Source organism: Homo sapiens, chromosome 14 (genome assembly GCF_000001405.40).
Source record: "Homo sapiens chromosome 14, GRCh38.p14 Primary Assembly".
NCBI lineage: Eukaryota > Metazoa > Chordata > Mammalia > Primates > Hominidae > Homo > Homo sapiens.
The window spans coordinates 60,315,287-60,337,367 of NC_000014.9; the positions used below are offsets into that span (position 1 = coordinate 60,315,287).

The 22,081-nt window shown below is 43.3% G+C and overlaps 1 long non-coding RNA gene across 1 annotated transcript, besides 8 other annotated features; it reads left to right on the forward strand.

Annotated features, from left to right (window-relative positions):
* Positions 167 to 1,046: an enhancer, noted in NCBI's record as "NANOG-H3K27ac-H3K4me1 hESC enhancer chr14:60782171-60783050 (GRCh37/hg19 assembly coordinates)". NCBI's record gives its function as "activates a minimal SCP1, AML or CMV promoter by ChIP-STARR-seq in naive H9 embryonic stem cells {active_cell/tissue: H9 hESC(naive)}" and the evidence as "EXISTENCE:reporter gene assay evidence [ECO:0000049][PMID:30033119]".
* Positions 465 to 759: a silencer, noted in NCBI's record as "tiled region #902; HepG2 Repressive non-DNase unmatched - State 21:Repr". NCBI's record gives its function as "represses a minimal TATA promoter and a strong SV40 promoter by Sharpr-MPRA in HepG2 cells {active_cell/tissue: HepG2}" and the evidence as "EXISTENCE:reporter gene assay evidence [ECO:0000049][PMID:27701403]".
* Positions 1,047 to 1,926: an enhancer, noted in NCBI's record as "NANOG-H3K27ac-H3K4me1 hESC enhancer chr14:60783051-60783930 (GRCh37/hg19 assembly coordinates)". NCBI's record gives its function as "activates a minimal SCP1, AML or CMV promoter by ChIP-STARR-seq in naive and primed H9 embryonic stem cells {active_cell/tissue: H9 hESC(naive and primed)}" and the evidence as "EXISTENCE:reporter gene assay evidence [ECO:0000049][PMID:30033119]".
* Positions 3,361 to 3,905: an enhancer, noted in NCBI's record as "NANOG-H3K27ac-H3K4me1 hESC enhancer chr14:60785365-60785909 (GRCh37/hg19 assembly coordinates)". NCBI's record gives its function as "activates a minimal SCP1, AML or CMV promoter by ChIP-STARR-seq in naive and primed H9 embryonic stem cells {active_cell/tissue: H9 hESC(naive and primed)}" and the evidence as "EXISTENCE:reporter gene assay evidence [ECO:0000049][PMID:30033119]".
* On the forward strand, positions 7,910 to 8,621 carry LINC02322 (long intergenic non-protein coding RNA 2322). Its single transcript, NR_146481.1, has 2 exons — positions 7,910 to 7,990; positions 8,325 to 8,621. It is a non-coding gene; the product is annotated as a long intergenic non-protein coding RNA 2322 (long non-coding RNA).
* Positions 12,463 to 12,522: an enhancer, noted in NCBI's record as "active region_8476". NCBI's record gives its function as "activates an Ori minimal core promoter by ATAC-STARR-seq in GM12878 lymphoblastoid cells {active_cell/tissue: GM12878}" and the evidence as "EXISTENCE:reporter gene assay evidence [ECO:0000049][PMID:35858748]".
* Positions 12,633 to 12,942: a silencer, noted in NCBI's record as "silent region_5811". NCBI's record gives its function as "represses an Ori minimal core promoter by ATAC-STARR-seq in GM12878 lymphoblastoid cells {active_cell/tissue: GM12878}" and the evidence as "EXISTENCE:reporter gene assay evidence [ECO:0000049][PMID:35858748]".
* Positions 16,310 to 16,549: an enhancer, noted in NCBI's record as "active region_8477". NCBI's record gives its function as "activates an Ori minimal core promoter by ATAC-STARR-seq in GM12878 lymphoblastoid cells {active_cell/tissue: GM12878}" and the evidence as "EXISTENCE:reporter gene assay evidence [ECO:0000049][PMID:35858748]".
* Positions 16,570 to 16,639: an enhancer, noted in NCBI's record as "active region_8478". NCBI's record gives its function as "activates an Ori minimal core promoter by ATAC-STARR-seq in GM12878 lymphoblastoid cells {active_cell/tissue: GM12878}" and the evidence as "EXISTENCE:reporter gene assay evidence [ECO:0000049][PMID:35858748]".

Genomic DNA, 22,081 nt, shown 5'->3' on the forward strand with positions numbered 1-22,081 from the left:
TGTTAGTTCCCACCTGAGTTAAACATGCAGGTCAATTGCTTAACTCAGGGCCTGTTACACAGTGAGTGCGCAGTAAGTGATAGTTGTTACTATGGAGACAGAAGATAAACCCCCATCCCAGAGCCTCCCAGGCATATTCTTGAGTCCCACCCAGTTATGCTGAATCAAGAAGCGTTGGCAAATGGCACAGCCAGTCTGTAGTGATTCAAATGCTTTTGTAAAGTTAGGGAGAGCAAGGCAGGGGAAAGGTCCAGAGGGGCTGCTGTCATTCCAAACAGTTCTTAACTATTCCCCGAAGGCTGCCCTGAGCAGCCTTGGGAAGCGCAACGTGGGACTCCTCCTCTCTTCCTGGGAACAAGAACTTGGGGAAGCTTTGAGTGGTTTCACATCTCCAGTGCCCTCAGTCCTTTGGTGTGTCAGCAAAACCAGCTGGCACCATACTTTAACAGGGCCCGATTCACATGGCAGTCTTGGGATTTGTGGATTCAGATGAACTCTTGCTGGCTTCTTTCTGGCACCTTCAACTTCTTCAAAGCCATAAACCACAGTGGTTGCTTGAGCTTTTTCCTGAACAGCAAATGGCTTTGTTTTCTTTGTCCCCAGCCCCTATAGAGCTGGCCTTGTGATTACTGTGAGCAGCAGGGGGGCTCATGTTGAGGCCCCCGCCCACTGCTTTGCAGGCAGGGTGACCCTCTGTTCTTAGACATTGTGATTCCCCCCAGATACGTGTGAGTCAAGTTGAATGAATAGCAAGGAATATTTCATGCAGCACACCAGACACTGCTCCTAAAGTTCATTTGGGTCTCAACGTCCAATTGGCCAGTTAATCTTTTCACTGCAAAAAAGATCACCATGACTTTTGAAAAATCACCTTTGAAATATATCCAGGCAGGTTCTCAGCCTTTAAGGAGCACAGAAGCCAGCCCACCAGCCCACCAGGCCCACCAGCAATGCTGCTTAGAGCCCTGATGGAGGCAGGAGCTAGACAGAGGTGGCCGTCCTCAGGAATTGCTTCCTACTGGCCAGGAGAGTTCACTTCAAAGGATGTGAATATGAATTGTATCCTTGTGACTAAATTTGGTTTAACTTCTAACTTGCAAACCATGGCTGATTGTTTATTTTGTTAATGGAGGAGGGGTGCTGTTTTCAGCCACTGCAGAGGCTGGTCAGGGAAGGGGCTTGTGGCTGAGCATCATACTCCTTATCTGAGGGAAGGCATCTGATCCTCCTTCACGGCCCCTCTCCTTCCCAGGGGCCCCACATTGCCACTCCACTTTATTCCTAATTCTTGGCTTGAGCCCCTTCTCTGAGAGAGAAAGGAACATGGCCAGGGAACTAGCATTCCCACCAAATCTTCAAAGCCAGTGGAGGCCACAGAAGAGCTGGTGGGGAGGGGTGGCAGGGAAACTTGATTTCTAAAACAGGGTTGCTAAATACTCCAGACTTGGCTGCTTAGAAAATGCATTGACCTCAAAAGGACAGGACACCCTCCCCTGCCAGGGGAACTTGGGATTTGTTGCTGCTCTGGCTGACTTCTGTGCCCACCTGAACACACAGAGCTTAGGGCTCCCTGTGTTAGAGTCACCACGTAATTTGTTCATCTCTCTGTCATCCAAGATGAAAGTTATTTACTAATGACTCCCTTTTCGTCCCTTTTAATTCACCGGAGGGGCCCTTCTAACCTCTCAATTCAGGCCAGTAGGTTTCCTGAGCTTGGTAAGGATGAGAAAGGAGGAAGCAGTCTTTTTCAGTGCATGTTCTGAAGGCTAGAGACTTGCATGGAGGCCCGTAGACACAAGAGACATGTAAAACCAGCCTCAGGTGCATCATTCTTTTCAAGACTTAGAACATAACAGGCTTAGAGGAATATGCCCAGAAGAACGTGGCTACTCTCTCCCACAGCCACTTTGCATAGGGCTAAGCAAAGGAAATAAAACTAATACTACCACATGGCTGGCACTCTGTGTTTACCCCATGCTAGGTACCACACTAAGTGCTTCCCGTGTAGCATCTCATTTAAATCTTCAAAATAACACCATGATGTAGGCATCATCATTGTCATCAGCATTACTTAGATGAAAAACTGAGGCTCAGAGAAGGTGCATGACCTGCCCAAGGGTGTGCCATCACTAACTGGTTAAGGCAGGATTTGAACCCAGAAAGTCTGCCTTAACCACTCCATGGTCCCCAGTTACAATCTGTTGAATGGATGAATTACAGTCTTTTGCTTCCTTACCCTAATCTCTATTTGGCATATAATATATAAGCCCCACTTATGGCTACTAAACACCTACCCCATGGGCTGCTTCTGCAGGAAGCCCCTTCCCTGTTCTGGGCACGGCCTCTGTTCCCCCAGAGCCCTGCAACCAATTCTACACTGTAATCTAGGGCTGCAGAGAAGTGAGCTGCAGACACTTTTGTTCCTTAGGTAAATTCCATTTCCTTTTCTATTGTCTCAGGCTTCTTAGTGATGTAACATTACACCAAGCATATCCTGCTTTTAAAAAGAAACTTCGATGGAGGTTGGCAAATTACCATTCACAGCTTGGTGAATGATAAAGTCACAAGAGAAGAGTGGAAGCAATGCACCTGGTGTCCGTAATTATAGGCTTGAATGAGGGAGGAAAGAAGGGATGAAGGCAGGCCAAATACAGCTGGGTGTGGGAGACTGGCTCAGAGGGGATTTGAGAGGACTAGGAAACGGAAGGATGTTATAGAGCAAGTACTTTTAATCTCCCTCTATCCCACCCCAGTCTTGCACTCCCACCTTCTGCTCCTTACCTTGGTTTTCTTTTTTTGATCTGTGTTTTTCCTGATCTCAAAGATCTCTTTGTCCATCTTCCCATAACAGCACCAGATGAACTGTGATGATCAAAATAAAAGCTCTTGAGGCATCCTCAAGTCAATCTGTGTTTTGCTTCTTCAGTTGGGTCCTCTGATCTGTATTATGTCTGAAAACATACCAGAACACTCCAAGAATTTACTCCAGAGACAATAACTGAGGGCACTAGAAAACAGAAGTCATGATGTCCACTATCCCTTAAACTAGACTTCTTCAGTTACTCCTTTTAATTTTGAAGTGAAATTAGTATATTTTGTACTTGGAAAATAATCTGATCTCTCAGGACTGCACTGTGGCTATTTAAATTATAATTAAAATGAATGAACATCAGATAAAATTAGAAGTTTAGGCCGGGCACGGTGGCTCATGCCTGTAATCCCAGCACTTTGGGAGGCCAAGGCGGACAGATCACGAGGTCAGGAAATCGAGATCATCCTGGCTAACAAGGTGAAACCCTGTCTCTACTAAAAATACAAAAATTAGCCAGTTGTGGTGGCGGGCGCCTGTAGCCCCAGCTACTTGGGAGGCTGATGCAGGAGAATGGCGTGAACCTGGGAGGCAGAGCTTGCAGTGAGCCGAGATTGTGCTACTGCACTCCAGCCTGGGCAACAGAGCGAGACTCTGTCTCAAAAAAAATAAAGTTTAATTCCTCAGTTGCACTACTTGTACTTCAGGTGCTCAGTAGCCACATGTGGCTTGCAGCTCTCATACTGAACAGTGCAGATATAGACATGGTATGGTTTGGATCTGTGTCCTAGCCCAAATCTCATGTTGATCCCTTGTAATCCCCAGTGTTGGAGGTGGGACCTGGTGGGAGGTGATTGGATCTCGGAGCAGATTTCCCTCTTGGTGCTAATTTCCCTCTTGCTTCTCCTGACAATGAGTAAGTTCTCATGAGATCTGGTTGTTTAAAACTGTGTAGCACCTCCCTGGCCCCCCTACTTGTCTGGCCATGTTAAGACGTGCCTGCTTCCCCTCCACTTTCTGCCATGATTGTAAGCTTCCTGAGGCTTCCCAGAAGCAGAAGCTGCTATGCTTCCTGTAGAGCCTGCAGGAGCATGAGCCAATTAAACCTCTTATCTTTATAAATTACCCAGTCTCAGGTATTTCTTTATAGTGATGCAAGAACAGACTAATGCAGAAAATTGGTACTGAGAGTGGGGTACTGCTATAAAGATACCCAAAAATGCAGAAGGGATTTTGGAACTGGGGAGTGGGCAGAGATTGGAAGAGTGTGGAGGGCTCAGAAGAAGACAGGAAGATGATGAAAAGTTTGGAAATTCCTAGAGACTTGTTGAATTGTTATGACTGAAATGCTGGTAGTGATATGGACAATGAAGCCCAGGCTGAGGAGGCTTCAGATGCAGATGAAGAACTTATTGGGAACTACAGTAAAGATCACTTTTGTTATGCATTAGCAAAGAACTTGGAGGCATTGTGCCCCTGGCCTAAGGATCTGTGGAACTTTGGACTTGTGAGTCGTGATTTAGGGTACCTGGCTAAAGAAATGTCTAACCAGCAAAGCATTCAAGATGTAGCCTTGCTGCTTTTAACAGCCTATGCTGTCATATGTGTGAGGAAATAAATGACCTAAAACTGGAACTTATATTTAAAGATGAAACAGAGCCTAAAAGTTTAAAAAAAAAATTTGCAGCCCAGCCATGTGGTAGAAAAGAAAAGCCCATTTTCAGGGGAAGAATTCAAGCAGGCTGCAGAAATTTGTGTAAGTAATGAGGATCCAAGTGATGATAGCCAAGACTATGGGGGAAAGGCCTTGAAGGCATTTCAAATAACTTCTCAACAGCCTCTCCCATCACAAGCCCTGGCCACAACCAGGACTCTGCTGCTCTGCACAGCCTCAGTACACTGCTCCCTGCATCCCAGCCACTTCAGCTGTAGCCATGGCTAAAAGGGGCCCAGGTACAGCTCAGGCCACTGCTTCAGAGGGTGCAAGCCATAAGCCTTGGTGGCTTCCACATGGTGTTAACCCTGCAGGTGCACAGAATGCAAGAGTTGAGGCTTGAGAGCCTCCACCTAGATTTCAGAGGATGTATGGGAAAGCCTTGATGTCCAGATAGAAGCCTGCTGCAGGGGTGGAGTCCTCATGGAGAACCTCAACTAGGGCAGTGTGGAGGGGAAATGTGGGGTTCATGCCCCCACACAGAGTCTCCACTGAGGGCACTGCCTAGTGGAACTTTGAGAAGAGGGCCACCCTCCTCCAGACCCCACAATGATAGAGCCACTGACAACTTGCACCCTCAGCCTAAAAAGTCTCTGGCAGTCAACACCAGCCTGTGAGAGCAGCCATGGGGGCTGAACCCTGCAAAGCCCAAAGCTTTGGGAGCCCACCCCCTGTACCAGTGTGTCCTGGATATGGGACATGGAGTCAAAGGAGATTATTTTGTTGCTTTAAGGTTTAATGACTGCCCTGCTGGGTTTTATACTTGCATGGGGCCTTGTTTTGGCCAATTTCTCCCTTTTTGAATGGGAGTATTTACCCAATACCTATACCCCATTGTATTCTGGAAGTAACTAACTTGTTTTTGATTTTATAGGCTCATAGGCAGAAGGGCTAGCCTTGTCTTAGGTGAGACTTTGGACTTTGGAAATTTTAGTTAATGCTAGAATGAGTTAAGACTTTGGGGACTGTCGGGAAGGGATGATTGTATTTTGCAATGTGAGAATGACATGAGATTTGGGAGGGGCTGGGGCAGAATGATATCATTTGGATCGGTGTCCCTGCCCAAATCTCATGTTGAATTGTAATCCTCAGTGTTGGAGGTAGGGCCTGGTGGGAGGTGATTGGATTATGGGGGCAGATTTCCCCCTTGGTGCTGTTCTTCTGATAGTGAGTGAATTCTCATTAGATCTGATCACTTAAAAGTGTATAGCAGCTCCCCTTCCACTTCTCCAGCCATGTAAGACGTGCCCACTTCCCCTTTGCTTTCTGCCATGATTGTAAGTTTCCCAAGGTCTCCCAGAAGCAGAAGCCACTATGTTTCCTATACAGCCTGCAGAACCATGAGCCAATTAAACCTCTTTTCTTTATAAATCACCCAGTCTCAGGTATTTCTTTAGAGCAATGCGGGAACAGACTAATACAAAACATTTCCATTATAGCTGAAAGTTCTACTGGACAGTGCTGTCTCAGACACCAGTATTATAGTCTTAATGCTGATGACACTTCATTGGGGCAGAACTTCTAAGGGATATTTAAAACACACAGTTAACAGTAAGATAGATATAAACCCTCCAAGCAGCTCACTCAACACTTTTTGGAAACCACTTAGTGAATGATCCTGTCTTCTATTTCCTTCTCTCTAAGGTAATCTAAGTTCTGAGGGTGAAATACGGGCTCCAAGAATTGCCCTGGCATTAAGGGTTTAGCTTCTGGGACATGTGACATCCTCTGTTCTTGTAGGCATTTGGATGCTGGTTCTATCTCTGCTGATGTCCTTGGGCCAGCTGGGATCTCTGACATGTATGGTCTAGCCTATTTGTTGATGGCATTGACATGTCATATAACTAAGAGACTTCATTCAGTCTGCTGGCCCTTTTAGTCACCTTTGGCACTTTGCAGGGAACAAAAAAAGCTTCTGGATACTCCTGCAGACTACTCTGTATTGAAGTTTCAGACTACTCTGCATTGAGGTCTCAGACCCTTCTGTCTGGTTGCCTCCAAGCTAAAGTTCCCTCACTCTCTAATTCCCTTCAAATTAATCTGTGGTTTCTATTTCCCACTCCCTCTCTTTGACTTAGCTCAGTATGGTGGTCTCTGCACCCATTCTCTAGAGCCCAGAAAACTCTAAGCTCTAGTCACCCATTCTTACATTTCTCTCTATCTGCTGCAGGTCAAATGCTTATTTCCTTTAGGGAGACAAAACATCTCCCTTCTCTTCTTGTGTTCTTCATCCCTATGCAGAGGTCACAAATTCTGAAAAGTGCCAAACAGCAAATATTTTAGGCTTTGCAGGCTATATGGTCTCTGTTGCAACTACTCAGCCCACTGTTCTAAGTGCAAAAGTAACTATAGACAATGGGTAACCAAATGGATATGGCTGTGCTTCAGTAAAACTTAATTACAAAAAAACTTTACCTCCAAAGATTGTAGTTTGCTGACCTCTGGTTTATATTAATAGTATAAAGTTGGGATCCAGGTTCTCTTTGCCCTTAGTATTTAGAAACAAGTTTTCAGAATTTAAAAAAAAGCTCCTGTCTGTGAAAATCAGCTTAATCTACTATAGATTTTTAAAGTCTACTGTTGAACTCAAACACCAAGAATTTTCTTCTTTCTTCTAGGCATATTAGTGGTGCCCTAAAGAGAGGGCACGTAGAAACTCTCCATGGATGTTTGAATGGTAGCAGAAAGGATACAAATAAAAGAATTAGAAAATAGTTAAAATCATAGTATTTCTCAACTACATTCTTATCAAACTGTGATTGTGAAAATTAATGAAAATCAGTATTTTGGAAACTGTGCCTCACACATTGTCAGGCACACAACGAACGTTCAATAAATGCCCACTCTTTCATTCCTGTACCTCTAGGATCAACACTGATGTCATTCAAGCAACAGCTAGAAGACCAACTCTGTCTCCGACTTATTGAGTTGAAATGCATTTATTTTTCCACTGTTATGAAAAAATGCAGATTTTCCCCGAAGAAGCATTTTTTTAATTCATCGCTTTTTCTTAAAGCCACGTGACAGAAAGCCAGGGCCCAGATCCTAAGGAGAGGGACCATCATGGGTCAGTTTTTAAAATGGGAGAAAAGTGTCCCCTGTAAAAAAGTACTACTTGTCCACTTTAGAGGAGAGAATACTAAATATGAAGTGGGAGGGGCTAAAATAAAATTACACCCACTTCCTCTGTACGACTTTCTTGGTTACAAGTGATAGAAATTTAATTCAAACTAGGTTAGGTAAAGGGGGAATTTATTAGTTTGGAGTATCTAAGGCTGAACAACTAAATTGTGGCTGGTCAGGAATGTGGCTGGGCCTCAGAAACAACTGGAGCCGGGCATCTGAATGCTCTCCCTACTCTCCCTGTCCTTCCTTTCTGCAGCACTGTCCAGATCAGCTTCTTCCACATGGGAGGGAAAATGGCTGCTGACGGCTCCCAAGCCTCAATCCCTTCACCCTTGCCACTGGTAAGACAGATTCCTTTTTTCACTTCCAGTTTTTAAAATTCCAGGGAAGGGCTCTGACTGGCTCTGCTGTAGTCATGTGTATACCCAGCCAATGGGAGCCAGGCTGAGGGGTGGGGTCATGGCTGTTACTGCCGTAGCCCCTTGGACAGGAGGCGGCAGGCACAGACATCAATCACTGAGTGTCCTTCGCCTCAGCATTTCCCCTGAGGTTGGTTCTGCACACCTTCATCTTTGTCTCAGCACAGGCCCTGGGCGGCAATGCCTTTTTGTGTTTTTTATGTATAAAGCTATTTGTTACAGTGTTGACTCAAAGCTGATACATTTCTGTTCTCAGGCAAACTGCGGTTTAGGTTGCTGCCTTGGCAGTCCTGGCTGTCCTCACGGAAGAGCATGTGAACCACGGACCTGGCTGTCTTTTTCATTGGGTTGGCTCTGCGGTGCAGGCTGGCAGATGAGCATGTGATGAGCCCGCCCTTGCTGGCCGTGCAATTCGGCTCCTGTCATGCTCTTGGCCATTGAATCGGCCTAATGCAGCCCCTCAGCAGCCAGCCTGGTGTTCCCTGGGGCTGAGGATCTAATGTCAGCAGGGCATGATTCGATTCACATTAAAGATGGATATTAAGTCTTTTTACTCGGGGTCTTGTCAAGAAAAACAAATCTGCCTGCTATCAAAGGCATAGAAAATGCCCCTTACCATGACAGCAGTTAACTATGTTCACTGATATCAAAGAGACTGTCTGTCCCCAAGCCTTGGAGGCAGTTTTGTCAAGGTCAATTCGGCTGATCTTTTTCAACGATAACCCAAAGAGGATTAAGTTAACATCTGACCTTTAAAGAGCTTTATTGTTGGGGAACCAAGCTAATTAAAAAATTAAAAGACTGCTTTTGAAAAATATTTAGACCAAACACTAAGGAAAACATGAACACACTGCTTATAGCAGCAGGAATATTGACAGAAAATCCCCAATGGCAAACTAGCTTTGTTATCACACTGTTGAGCTTAATGTGGGGACTCTGGAATCAAACGAATGGGTTCCAATCCTGGCTCTGCCACTTTCTAGTTTCTAGAAAGTGTTTCTAGAAACACTAGTTTCTAGTTTAGTTTCAAAGTAGGGCAAGTGTCTTGCCTTCTCTGAGCTCTGTTGTCTTATTTGTAAAATCGGGATAATAATAGTAATTATCTATAAGATTATTGCAAGGATTAAATGAGATAGTACATGTAAAGCCTTTTCATTTAGGCTAACTATAAATATTACTGTGGACATTTTCAAGTTTAAACATTTTTAAATTTTGCTTTACCGACTTGTGCCATCATGTTGACAGCTGAATGGAATCTCTTGACAAAGTGGCTGGTTCTCACTATCTCCAGAATTCAGAGAAACATCTAGGTTCTGAGCTGGCTCAGCTTTGGACCAAATGTTACTAGCATAGATATAGCAGCTCTTACACCCCAGCTGCCACTGCACTTGATCATCTGCCCCATTACACATATGACAACTCTGTTTACTACTAAAGCTATCTTGAAGAAATGGAATTGTGAGAATAGGGATGGTAATGTTGTCCAGAAAAAGTTCTCTCTTTTAAGTTCTCCTATAAATACTTTCCAATTCAAGGAGATACTGTTCATTGTTAAATGTTTTCATCCAAAGCAGTGTTCCTCACCCTGGCTTCCGGTTTGCTTTTTCTTTTTCTTTTCTTTTCTCTCTTTTCTTTTCTTCTGTCTCTTTTCTTTTCTGTCCTTTCTTTCTTTTTTCTTTTCTTTTCCTTTCTTTCTTTCTTTTATTCTTTCTTTCCTTCTTTCTTTCTTTTTTCTTTCTTCCTGCCTTCCTGCCTGCCTTCTTTCCTTCCTTCCTTTCCTTCTTTTCTTTTCTTTTTTGACAGCATCTAACTCTGTTACCCAGGCTGGAGCGCAGTGGTGCATAGCTCACTGCAGCTGCAGTCTCAAACTGCTGGGCTCAAGTGATCCTCCTGGCTCAGCCTCCCAAGTAGCTGGGACTACAGGTGCACACCACCACACCTGGCTAATTTAAACTTTTTTTTTTTTTTTTTTTTAAAGACATGAGGTCTTGCTATGATTCCCAGGCTGGTCTCAAATGCCTGTCCTCAAGAATCCTCCCACTTTGGCCTCCCAAAGTGCTGAGATTATAAGCATGAGCCACTGCACCCGCACTTGGCTTGGTTTTCTTTTCATTGGCTTATGTGGTGGTTGGAGTTATCTCTTTTGCATGTTGACAGGTGTCATAAAGCCATAGGAGACTTTGAGATGGCCTGAAAATAAGATCATGGATTTTTCCTGGCAGAGAGTTTAGTTTACTTTCAAACCCCGCTAGCCTTTGCTACTCAAAGCCTGGTTCATAAAACCAGGGCTTTGACTTCACTTAGATGCTTCTTAGAATTGCAGAATCTCTTGCCCCACAGTCTTGCTCTCTCAGGCTGGAGTACAGTAGCACAATCTCAGCTCACTGCAACTTCCACCTCCTGAATTCAGGTGATTCTGGTGTCTCAGCCTCCCAAGTAGCTGGGATTATAGGCATGCACCATCATACCCAGCTACTTTTTGTATTTTTAGTAGAGACAGGTTTTTGCCATGTTGTCCAGGCTGATCTCAGACTCCTGGCCTCAAGTGATCTGCCCATCTTGGCCTCCCAGAATGCTTGGATTACAGGTGTGAGCCACTGCACCGGCCACAATCTGCATTTTAACAAACTTCCCAGGTGGTGCCAATGACATTAAAGTTGCAGCAGCACTGCTCAGGAGCTGTGCATTGGAATCACCTGGAGTACTTGAAAAACTATTGATGCTCAGGTCCCAACCACAAAGACTCCCCCAACTTAACTGGCATTGGGGTTTTAAAAAATTTCTCCAGGTCATTGTAACTAATGCACAAGGTGAGAACTTGTGCTCAAGAGACATTCTTTCTTCTTCCTCCACTTATTTCTACAATTGCTTTTCTCTTAAAGTAAAAATCTCAAGCTACAGTCAAAGTTCATTTCATGTCCATTTTATAGATAATGCCACACAATGTGAAGATTCATTCTGAATTTAAAAAATAACCTTTACAAATATCTTCTGAACCTTTGCCAAGGTCCCCACATCCCTCTTTTATTGTGAGGTCCAGAACTAGACACAGTCCTCCAGTACAGCCCTCAACATCACTGAACAGCAGCACAAGGGATGTTTGTATTCTTCTGAATGAAAGGTACTGTTATAAAGAAAGTCAGAACATTCGAAGGGGGTGGGGGCGGCTTTGATGGCCAAGCAAAAGATTTCCTCATGCCTACACTCAGTCTGGGAGTGAATGAGCCAGTTACATAAGGAGAAAATCCTCCTTCCTAGTGTTGAGCTTTCCTAATTGGAGGACTAAATGTGTCATTATTTAACTAAATAATTAATAAGCTTTCTTGTAATTCATGGATGACTAAACAGATAAACTCACCTGTACCAAACTTTCAGAGAGAGTTCCACTGATTTAATAAATTTGGTTCATGTCATCAGCATAAAAGTCATCTGAACCTTGAGCCTCAAAGACCAGTGACCTCCAAACTTGACAACTCAACTTATAAGAATCAACTCGGCTGCTTACTAAACATATATAGATGTCTGAGCAAAGGTATTTGTGGTTTTTAAAAAACTACATCAATTCTTCTCAAACTTTAATGGGGGTGGTGATGTGGTGAGGGCAGGTCTTGTAAAAAATTTAGACTCCCATCAACAGGTCTGAGTAGGGCCTGAGATTCTGCATTCCTAACGATCTCAAAAGTGATACCGTGCCGCTACTTCATGGACCACACTTTTAGTGGCAAGGCCCTAGACAATTTTGATAATCAGCCAGTTTGGGAACCAGAACTTGAGGCATCATAAATGTTACCTGAAATATGAAAAAGCTAATCTCCGCCTCAATGTTTATCAGCAGCTCAGGGTGCATCAGTGAGTGTTACACAGACGGATACAAAATGTGGGTGGGCAAATTTAATTTCAAACGGTGGAAGAAACCTTATTGAGAATGTTTAATTATGTTCATGCTCCGCTAATACGAGAATAGAGTGGACTCTTAAGTTCCTTTATTTCTCTAGTGATCTATTCTTTAGAGTTCACCAGCAAACACAAAGGCGGGAGGAACCGTTACTTTAAATTCATATTATTTTAGCTGATGTATCTGGAGCACAGTGATAAATTAATCATGACGTCTGGTCTGATTCACAATCATGTTCTAGCCTAATTTACACTTTGCATTTGCAGAACTGAAATGCGATGCATTAAAATGGTCACACACCACGGATTTTTCTCCTCGCTGCACCCATGGAGGGAGGCGCTGTCTCCGCCTTTTCCTGTAAGCACCTGCCCGGGGCCCAAGCCCACAGTGGATGGCTCGTCCAGCTCAGAGAGCGCCCAGGACGCAGTGAGGAAGCAGAATTGGGCGCTCAAGACTCAGACCCGGACTGATGAGCTAAGACTGCTTGCAAGAGGGAGTGGGAGTCGTTAAAAAAATATCCTCGTGGCTTAATGACCAAGGCGGGTTTATTCTCAAGGAAGGGGGAGCGGCGTGGTGGTGTTACTAAACATAACAGATGGCAGCTGTCTGCGGCTATATAGGGCGCGCTGACAAATCCCTCTGGATGGCCACGCGGCGCTGGGCTGCGGGGCCTGGGTGCACTTCGCGCCTGGCTCGGAGGGCGCCGCCTGCGGGAGGACCTCCGGGAGCCGAGCTGCCTCCCCGCAAACCCGGCCCGGGCCCACGCGGGCTCAGGGCGCCAGGCGGGGTGCGCCGAGGTGCAGCTCCCCGGCCCTAGGCTTCGCTGGGGTGGGGGTCGAGGCCTCTCCGCGGGTGGCTCCCTCCACCCTGCCGCCCCGCCTCGCGGCTGGGAGTTGCCCGGGAGCTGTGAATTCACTAGACCAGCATTCACCCAGGGCCTGCGGGGGCTGTGAAAGGATGGGAGGACTCGGCTCCCCAACCCACCTTTACAAAGCCGAAGTGTGGCTGGTGAGGTACCCGACACGCACACACTGCACCGTGATACTGAACCATGCCTGAGTGTGCATTTTGTGCGAAATGGGTCTTAGCCATGATTTCCATGTGGTGAACATCTTTTCCAAACCCCGGATTGAAACACGATTATCAGGTCAATAACATTTTTTCTATGATTTGGAGATTGATTCAGATGGGCAAAATCTTACAAAGTTAATAATCTTATAAAAATCTTACATAATAATCTTAAGTCGCTTTTAGAGAGACATTTAAAAAATATGTCTATTGAAAATAATAAAATTCAGTGAAATTGGACAGGACTGTGGCAGTTGGGGAAGCTTCCTGGAAGATCGGGCAGAAAGAGAGCTTGCCAGTTTGGGCTTGGGATGGGCAAAAACAGAGGGGATTGAGAGTTCTGGGGACTCAATAACGTACATCACTGTGATTTTCAAGCGGCAAATTTCTTTAGAAAGGTAAGGCCAGACAGACTAATGGGAACTGTCCAAGGAGAGGGAACAGAGGAACCCTCTGCACTTTTGGGGCTATGGTCTCTGAAATCGGCTGCAAGGACCACCACCTAGGGGTCGTGTGGTGCATGTCATGTGCTTGGCTTTCTGCAGCAGTGTTGGAGAGTTCCATGGGAAAAGCCTCCTCTCCCCACCCCTCATCATCTCCTCGACCCCTTTCTCAACAAATGTCAGGGACTAAGGCTTCCTTATTTTCTCCTCAATCACCTTGCAGTGCTTTTCACTGAAGGTGAGAAAGGTTGAGGTTCATTCATTCATTTAACAAATGTTTAAGAGCCTTCTATGTGCTAAGCCCAGGTGCTTGGAACCTGAACAAAACAGGTAAGAATCCCTGCCTGCGTGGAGTTTGCAAGAAGCAAGCTACATGGATAAAATCTGTGGACAGTGTCAGCCTGACAATGGGCTGCCTTTGTTTCCTGTAAATAGAATTATTCCTTTTGACTTAACAAGAATTCTGACACACTGAGGGTCCTCCATACATGTGAAGCTATCATTGTGATTATTCAGTAATTGCCAAGAAAAAGGCATACCTGATGGAGGAACCCTTATGTTTGAAAGAATAGAATAAAGTTTTAATTCCTTTTTTATGCATTTATCTGGTGGAGGGTGCTTTGGCCACATGCGAACCTTTCCCCAGTAACGTGGGTTTGTGTAAAGTAGGAGTTTGACTGTGAGGCATTAAGAAACATGGACTTCCTGTCTCCATTTCTGGGAACCCTTAGGTCACATGGAAAATGCAGGGCCTCTGGTACTCAACTTCCCTGGGACCATGTTCTGTTAACCCTACCACCTTTTAAATTCTCCCTCACCCTCATCATGTCCTCACTTCCCTCCTTACACAGCTTCAATTCTGTGGCCAGGTTTTGGAATGATTCCCTTATCTCTGCCACAGGATCCAAGAGCTATGTTTCAATGATTTCCAAAGCCTGAAAGTCATTGTATATCCACCTTAGATAAGCCAGAAGAAACTAACCTACCTTTCAAATTTATTTGCTTTTGGCTACAGCAATAGTAATTTATTATGGTACAGTGGGTAAGTATTTTACCAATTGCTTATTAAGGCTGGAGTGCAATGTCGTGATTACTGCAAACTCCACCTCCTGGGCTCAAGCAATTCTCCTGCCTCAGTCTCCTGAGTAGCTGGGATTACAGGCCTCTGCTACCACGCCTGGCTAATTTTTGTATTTTTAGTAGAGACAGCGTTTCACCATGTTGGCCAGGCTGGTCTGGAACTCCTGACCTCAAGTGATCTGCCCCCTCTCAGGCTCCCAAAGTGCTGGGATTACAGGTGTGAGCCACCACACCCAACTACATTAAGGAGTATTTGGAAGTTCATACAAGAATGCCACATAAGGCCACAATGAATAGTAGGTGTAGTTGACTGTTCTGTCTCTCACATAGACATACAAGCTCACAAATTGACACTCGTGCTTAAGTCAATGAACTCTATTATAAACTCATGTGCACTCATTTTACAAACATGGATTTTTGCATTCTCTTTTAAGCCATCTGTTGCCTATGTAGGATCCTGGTTTTTAAAAATCTCTCATATCATTTTTACAGTGTACAGTTATGGTTGTGTTTACACTTACTCAAGATGATTTAGGGTAGTAAGCATATGGATGAACTTTAAAACTTTTAAATTGTTATGCATATATTTTAAAACATATTTGAAAAAATATGTAGTTTATCAGACTATCATTTCACAGAAAGTAGGATGCAAGCAAGTTTTTAAAAATGGGTTAATAAAAACATGAAGTCACATTGTACTGAGATACAACAAAAATAACACAAGGAATAACAATAATAAATAATAAAATTAATAATAAAAATTAAAAATATCCTAAGTGGTAAGGGATGACCACAATTTAAGTTGCAGATTCATCTATGATTCAGGGGGACCAAAAAAGTCCACTGCGGTTGGCCCTAGAGAAAGGCTCCTTCACGAAGTATGCTCCAGTCTGCCTTTGCCCAACGTTCCATTAGCGCTCACTAGCAGACATATCAAAACAGGTACCAATGACTTAAAAAATTATTTTTCTACAACTCAGGAAAATTCTACCAAACAATTTTATCAGCGGGACACCCTCTGTCCACTCTCTGGACATCTGTGTCTAATGTGATCATGGCTTTAGATCTTCAGAGCTTACAAGCATTAGAAACATGCCAGAAATCTACTCACAGCAAAACTGTTTTTTTAGAAAATCACACAGAATTGAAAACCCGGTTTAAAAAGCTCCATACAAATCATGAGCTATTTATCACTTTCCTTTAATACACTACCATTTTACTCCAAGAGCCCCATTTAACAGAACTTCAAAACTGAAAGTGGATTTATTTACATTTTTTATGAAGAAACAATGGTATATACTCTTAATCACCCAGTGTTTCTCCACGGGGTTGCTAATGGCATTGGCAGAATGTTTAGCATCGCTGGTTCTTGGGTGCTAAATGCCAGTGGCACCCTCCTCCAAGTCTTTGTGACAACCAACGTTGCTCCCTGACATGCACGTGCGCGCGCTAGCGCACACACACACACACACACTCTCTCTCTCTCTCTCTCTCTCTCTACCTGCCCTCAGTGGGGCAGTACTGCCCTCGCTTGAGAACCCAAACTGCCTTATGCTGAAAAGAAACCTGAGACCCAGGGAAGAGAAGGGCAGTAGGGATTTGCCCAAGACCTACACCAAACTGGTATTGTGTTCGGCTTTCAGGCTGCAAAGAAGAAAGCGTTCAGACCATCTCAGATGTGGGGGGATTATAGAAAGTTTACACGGTGCAGGCTGGCGGGTGTGTGGTGAGGAGACCCAGAAAACCATTTCAGGGATCTCCCAGCCAGGCCTAATGGAGAAGAAGAAGACTTTTTCTCACTGTTGCAAGTTCAACAGCAGATGTGAGGTCTCAGGGGCTGCTCTGGGGACTTGGCCGCTTTGTCACCCGTGCCGGAAGCTCACAGGCCCCGGAGATCCCGCCTTCTGACTGCATCGCCCTCTGCCTTATTTTTTCTGCTTTGCTTCCCCTCAAACTGTTTCCTTACTGCCTCTGTCCCTACTCCTTTCTTTCTGGTTGTTTTACGTTCACAGTTTCCTCAAGAAAATACAAACAGAATCATTAAATATCACCAATACACAGAATCCCTTTGGAACGGAGTTTTTTTTGCCAGGCTACCCGAGAAGCCGCTGGTACCATCCAAGGCTGCTTTGGGCTAGAGCCAACAGCTTATTTTCTCCAGCAGGGGGCAGCATCGCTCGTTGGCATCTTGAGGTTCACTACTCAAGGTGGGCTTTGAAGTCAGATTGCCTGGGTTTGAAAGCCAGCTCCATAAGCCCCTGTGTAACTTCAGCTGCCTGTGCCTCCGTTTCTCATTTGTAAATTGACACATTAATAATAAAATGACTTCAAAAGATTTGTGTTTATGTGTGCTGGCAGGGGAAGGAAGTTTAAATGAGAAGGCATTAAAAATAACTCAAAATACAATGACAATCTTCATACAAGTAGAAAAAACAAATTATTTTGTCGTTCTTAAAATTTATGTAGAACCACTGTACTGGCATAACAACAGACACATAGATCAATGGAACAGAATAGAGAACTCAGATACCACCCATGCATTTACAGACAGCTCATTTCAGAATTACCATATGATTGAGCAATTCCACTAGTGGGTATGTATCCAAAAGAAAAAAAAAATTAAGGCCTGGTGCAGTGGCTCACACCTGTAATCCCAGCAATTTGGGAGGCCGAGGTGGGCAGATCACTTGAGCCCAGGAGTTCACGACCAGGCTGGGCAACATAGTGAAACCCCATCTCTACAAAAAAAATACAAAAATTAGTCAGGTGTAGTGGCGTCCATCTGTAGTTCCAGCTACTCGGGAGGCTGAGGTGAGAGACTCGCTTGAGCCCAGGAGGTGAGGCTGCAGTGAGCTGAGATCATGCCACTGCACTCCAGCCTGGGTGACAGGGTGAGACTCTGTCTTAAAAAAATAAAAAAAGAAAAAGAAAGAAAGAAAGAGAGAGAGAGAAAGAAAGAAAAAGAAAGAAAGAAAGAGAGACGGAAAAAGAAAGAGAGAGAGAAAGAAAGAAAAAAAAAAGATAGATCAGTATATCAAAGAAATATCTGCACTCCCACCTTTAGACAAAGGTGCCGAGAACATACAATGAGGAAAGAACAATCTCTTCAATAAATGGTGCTGGGAAAACTGGATAACCACATGCAGAAGAATGAAACCAGATCCCTATCTCTCACCATATACAAAAATGAAAGCAAAATGGATCAAAGCCTTAAATCTAAAACCTGAAACTATGAAACGACTAGTAAAAAACGTTGGGGAAATGCTCCAGGACGTCGGTCTGGGTGAAGACTTTTTTGTATAAGACTTCAAAGGCAGAAAAGAAAAAAAAATAGACAAATGGGATTACATCAGGCTAAAAAACTTCTGCACAGCAAAAGAAACTATCAACACAGAGACAACCAACAGAATGGGAGAAAATATTTGCAAACTATCCATCTGATAAGGAATTAGTAACCAGAATATATAAAGAGCTCAAACAACTCAATAGGAAAAAAACCCCAATAATTCTATTTAAAAATGAGCAAAAGATTTGAATAGACATTTCTCAAAAGAAGATATATAAATGGCCAAAAGGTATATGAAAAAGTGTTCAACCTCACTAATCAGGAAAATGCAAATCAACACCACAATGAGATGTCTCACACAGAATGGCTATCACGAAAAAAATATCAGGGAATAATAGATGCTGGCAAGGATGTAGTTAAAAGGGAATACTCATACATTGTTAGTTCAAATGAAAATTAGTACAGCCACTATGGAAAACAGCATGGAGGTTCCTGAAAAAACTAAAAATAGAACTACCATATGATTTAGCAATTCCAATAGTGGGTCTACATCCAAAATAAAGGAAATAAATATATCAAAGAGATATCTGCACTACCATGTTTACTGCAGCACTACTCACAATAGCCAAGATATGAAATCAACCTAAGTATCCATCAGTGGATGAATGGATAAAGAAAATGTGGTTTATGCACACAGTAGAATAGTACTCAGCCATAAAGAAGAATGCAATCCTGTCATTTGCAGCAACATGGACGGAACTGGAGACCATTATGTTAAGCAAAATAAGCCAAGCACAGAAACACAAATACTGCATGCCCTTACTCATATGTGAAGCTAAAAAAGTGGGTCTCATGAAGATAAACAGATTGGGGTCAGGCATGCAGTGGCTCATGCCTGTAATCCCAGCACTTGGGAGGCCAAGGCAGGCAGATCACCTGAGGTCAGGAGTTCGAGACCAGCCTGGCCAATGTGGTGAAACCCCGTCTCTACTAAAAATACAAAAATTAGCCAGGTGTGGTGGCGTGCACCTGTAGTCCCAGGTACTTGGGAGGCTGAGGCAGGAGAATTGCTTGTACCCGGGAAGGCAGAGGTTACAGTGAACCAAAATCATGCCACTGCATTCCAGCATGGGCAACAGAGAGAGACTCCAACTCAGAAAAAAAAAAAAAGAGTAGATTGGTGGTTACCAGATGCCAGGACAGTGAGAGTGGAAGAGGAGTTGAAGAGAGGTTGATTAATGGGTAGAAATATACACTTGGATAGAAGAAATAAGACCTAGTGTTTGATAGATCAGTAGGTTGACCACAGTTAACATTAATTGATTGTACATTTCAAAATAGCTAGAAGAGAATAATTCAAATGCTTCTAGCATAAAGAAAAGATCAATATTTAAAATGATGGATATCCCAATTACCCTGACTTGATTATATGAATCAAATTATCACATGTACCCTCAAAATACATACATCTAATATGTATCAATAAAAACAATTATTTTTTAAAAGTACTTAGCATTTAGTATTTGATGAACATTAGCTGTTGTTTTTGTTGCTGCTATTGTTATTATTAAAGAGAAAGTGGTTGTTGTTAATACTGTTATTAAGTAGAACGTTTAGAGCTTCTATTTCCTGACTACCCTCACCCCCACTCTGAGTGCTTTTCAGACTTTTCCATTCAAGTTCCTCTGCTGGCTGAAGGCAGTAAAGATGCAGACTCCAGAAGGATCAAGGGGAGGGGAGGTTCCAGGTGTCCTTGTGCAATCCTGAAATTTCTTTGAAACCACTTGCTTTCCTCTGTTTTATATTATGTCACAAATCATTTATACACTATAGATTAGATGTGCTTTTTAATATGCTATTCCTTAATATAGTCATGTCTCCTTCCATGTAAAATGCTTTAAATTATATAGCAGGTCAAATGTTTAAATTTTGTCCAAAAAAATCTTTAAGGAAAATTGGTATCCAGGGAGAGTCACCATATTTCTCTCCAAGCGCATACCTGGAGGTCATAACCCATTCCAGGTCACCACAATTCTCATGCCTTCATGGTTGGAGGTTTTCTTCCAGGAACATCAAATAGAAAGACATAGAGTCAGTCATTAAATTGTCAAATATTTATTAAACTTTATTTTGGGGAAGACATATAGTAAACAGTACAGAGGATTCAACCACACACCACCTTTGTGCTCCAAGAGTTTATCATATTTAAGCATACTAGTGATGTCTTCTGTATGTAACCCACATTTCTCAGCTTTCCCCAGTTGGTGAGGAGGTGATCAATTTTCTTGGGCGCTCCCACCACATTTCCTGCAATTTGGTTTTGATTATAGCTGTATACTTCCAAACCCAAGTTGGACAAGGATAAAATCTTTTTCACAGGAGGATCCCCAGCCCTTATGTAAATCAGTGAATACAAACAACTTGGCTACCTCTTCCAGTTCTATGCATGTACCATACTGTCTCATCTCTGAGCCTTGCCATGTTGTCTCCTCTGCCTGTCTTATCTCTTCCCTCTCCCTTCCTCAGGCCATTTACTGAGTAATTCTTATTGTTCCTTCAGGTCTCCCTGCTGCCCCCCAGTTATGAACTGGGTGCTCCTCGTCTGTTCTCACAGAAACCTCTCAACTGTCCCTTCTCACTGTTATACTTTGTTGCGCTTACTTGTTTGATGGTCTCTCTCCCCTGGAAGATTTCATCCCATAAGCGTGGAAACTATAACTGTGAAAAGCCAGCACTTGCCTAATGTCCAACAGAAACTTCACTGCCATTTGTTGAATGAATGGTGGATGTGGCTTAGCTCCACTTTCCAGAAATCTTCCGTGTCATAGAGGAAAGAAATAGCTGTGTGAGCAGGACATCTTCTTCTAATCTAAGTCATGTTCATGTGAGCAAAATGGCCAAATTGTGGTACAGCCAATCTGGGAAGCTTTGGACCATCTTAGCAAACAATTCAATTCCTCTTCCAACCAATATCAGTGAAAGAGAGACTGGTTGATAATGCAGTCTTACTCTTCAAAACAGAAGGTCTGTGATTTACTTAGTCATGGTGTGATAACGCTGCCTTTGATAACTAATGCTTGACCTAGGAGGATTTGAACTTAGGAAGCCCTTAGTTTGCAACATATATATATAGAGATTATAAATCATTCTATTATATATATATAAATATATATATATAGCAACATATATCTATCTATCTATCTATCTATCTATCTATCTATCTATCTATCTATCTGTCTATCCTCTAAGTTCTGGGGTACATGTGCAGAATGTGCAGGTTTGTTACATAGGTATACACGTGCCATGGTGGTTTGCTGCACCCATCAACCTGTCATCTACATTAGGTATTTCTCCTAATGTTATCCCTCCCCTAGCCCCCCACCCCCTGACAGGCCCCAGTGTGTAATGTTCTCCTCCCTATATCCATGTGTTCTCATAGTTCAACTCCCACTTATGAGTGAGAACATGCAGTGTTTGGTTTTCTGTTCTTGTGAGAGTGTGCTGAGAATGATGGTTTCCAGCTTCATCCATGTCCCTGCAAATGACATGAACCTATCCCTTTTTATGGCTGCATAGTATTCCATGGTGTATATGTGCCACATTTTCTTAATCCAGGCTATTATTGATGGACATCTGGGTTGGTTCCAAGTCTTTGCTATTGTGAATAGTGCCACACTGTGCATGTGTCTTTATAGTAGAATGATTTATAATCCTTTGGGTATATACCCAGTAATGGGATCGCTGGGTCAAATGGTATTTCTAGTTCTAGATCCTTGAGGAATCGCCACACTGTCTTCCACAATGGTTGAACTAGTTTACAGTCCCACCAACAGTGTAAAAGCGTCCCTATTTCTCCACATCCTCTCCAGCATCTGTTGTCTCCTGACTTTTTAATGATCGCCATTCTAACTGGTGTGAGATGGTATCTCATTGTGGTTTTGATTTGCATTTCTCTGATGGCCAGTGATGATGAGCATTTTTTCATATGTCTGTTGGCTGCATAAATGTCTTCTTTTGAGAAGTGTCTGTTCACATCCTTTGCCCAGTTTTTGATGGGGTTGTTTGTTATTTTCTTGTAAATTTGTTTAGGTTCTTTGTAGATTCTAGATATTAGCCCTTTGTCAGACGGGTAGATTGCAAAATTATTCTCCCATTCTGTAGGTTGCCTGTTCACTCTGATGATAGTTTCTTTTGCTGTGCAGAAGCTCTTTAGTTTCATTAGATCCCAATTGTCAATTTTG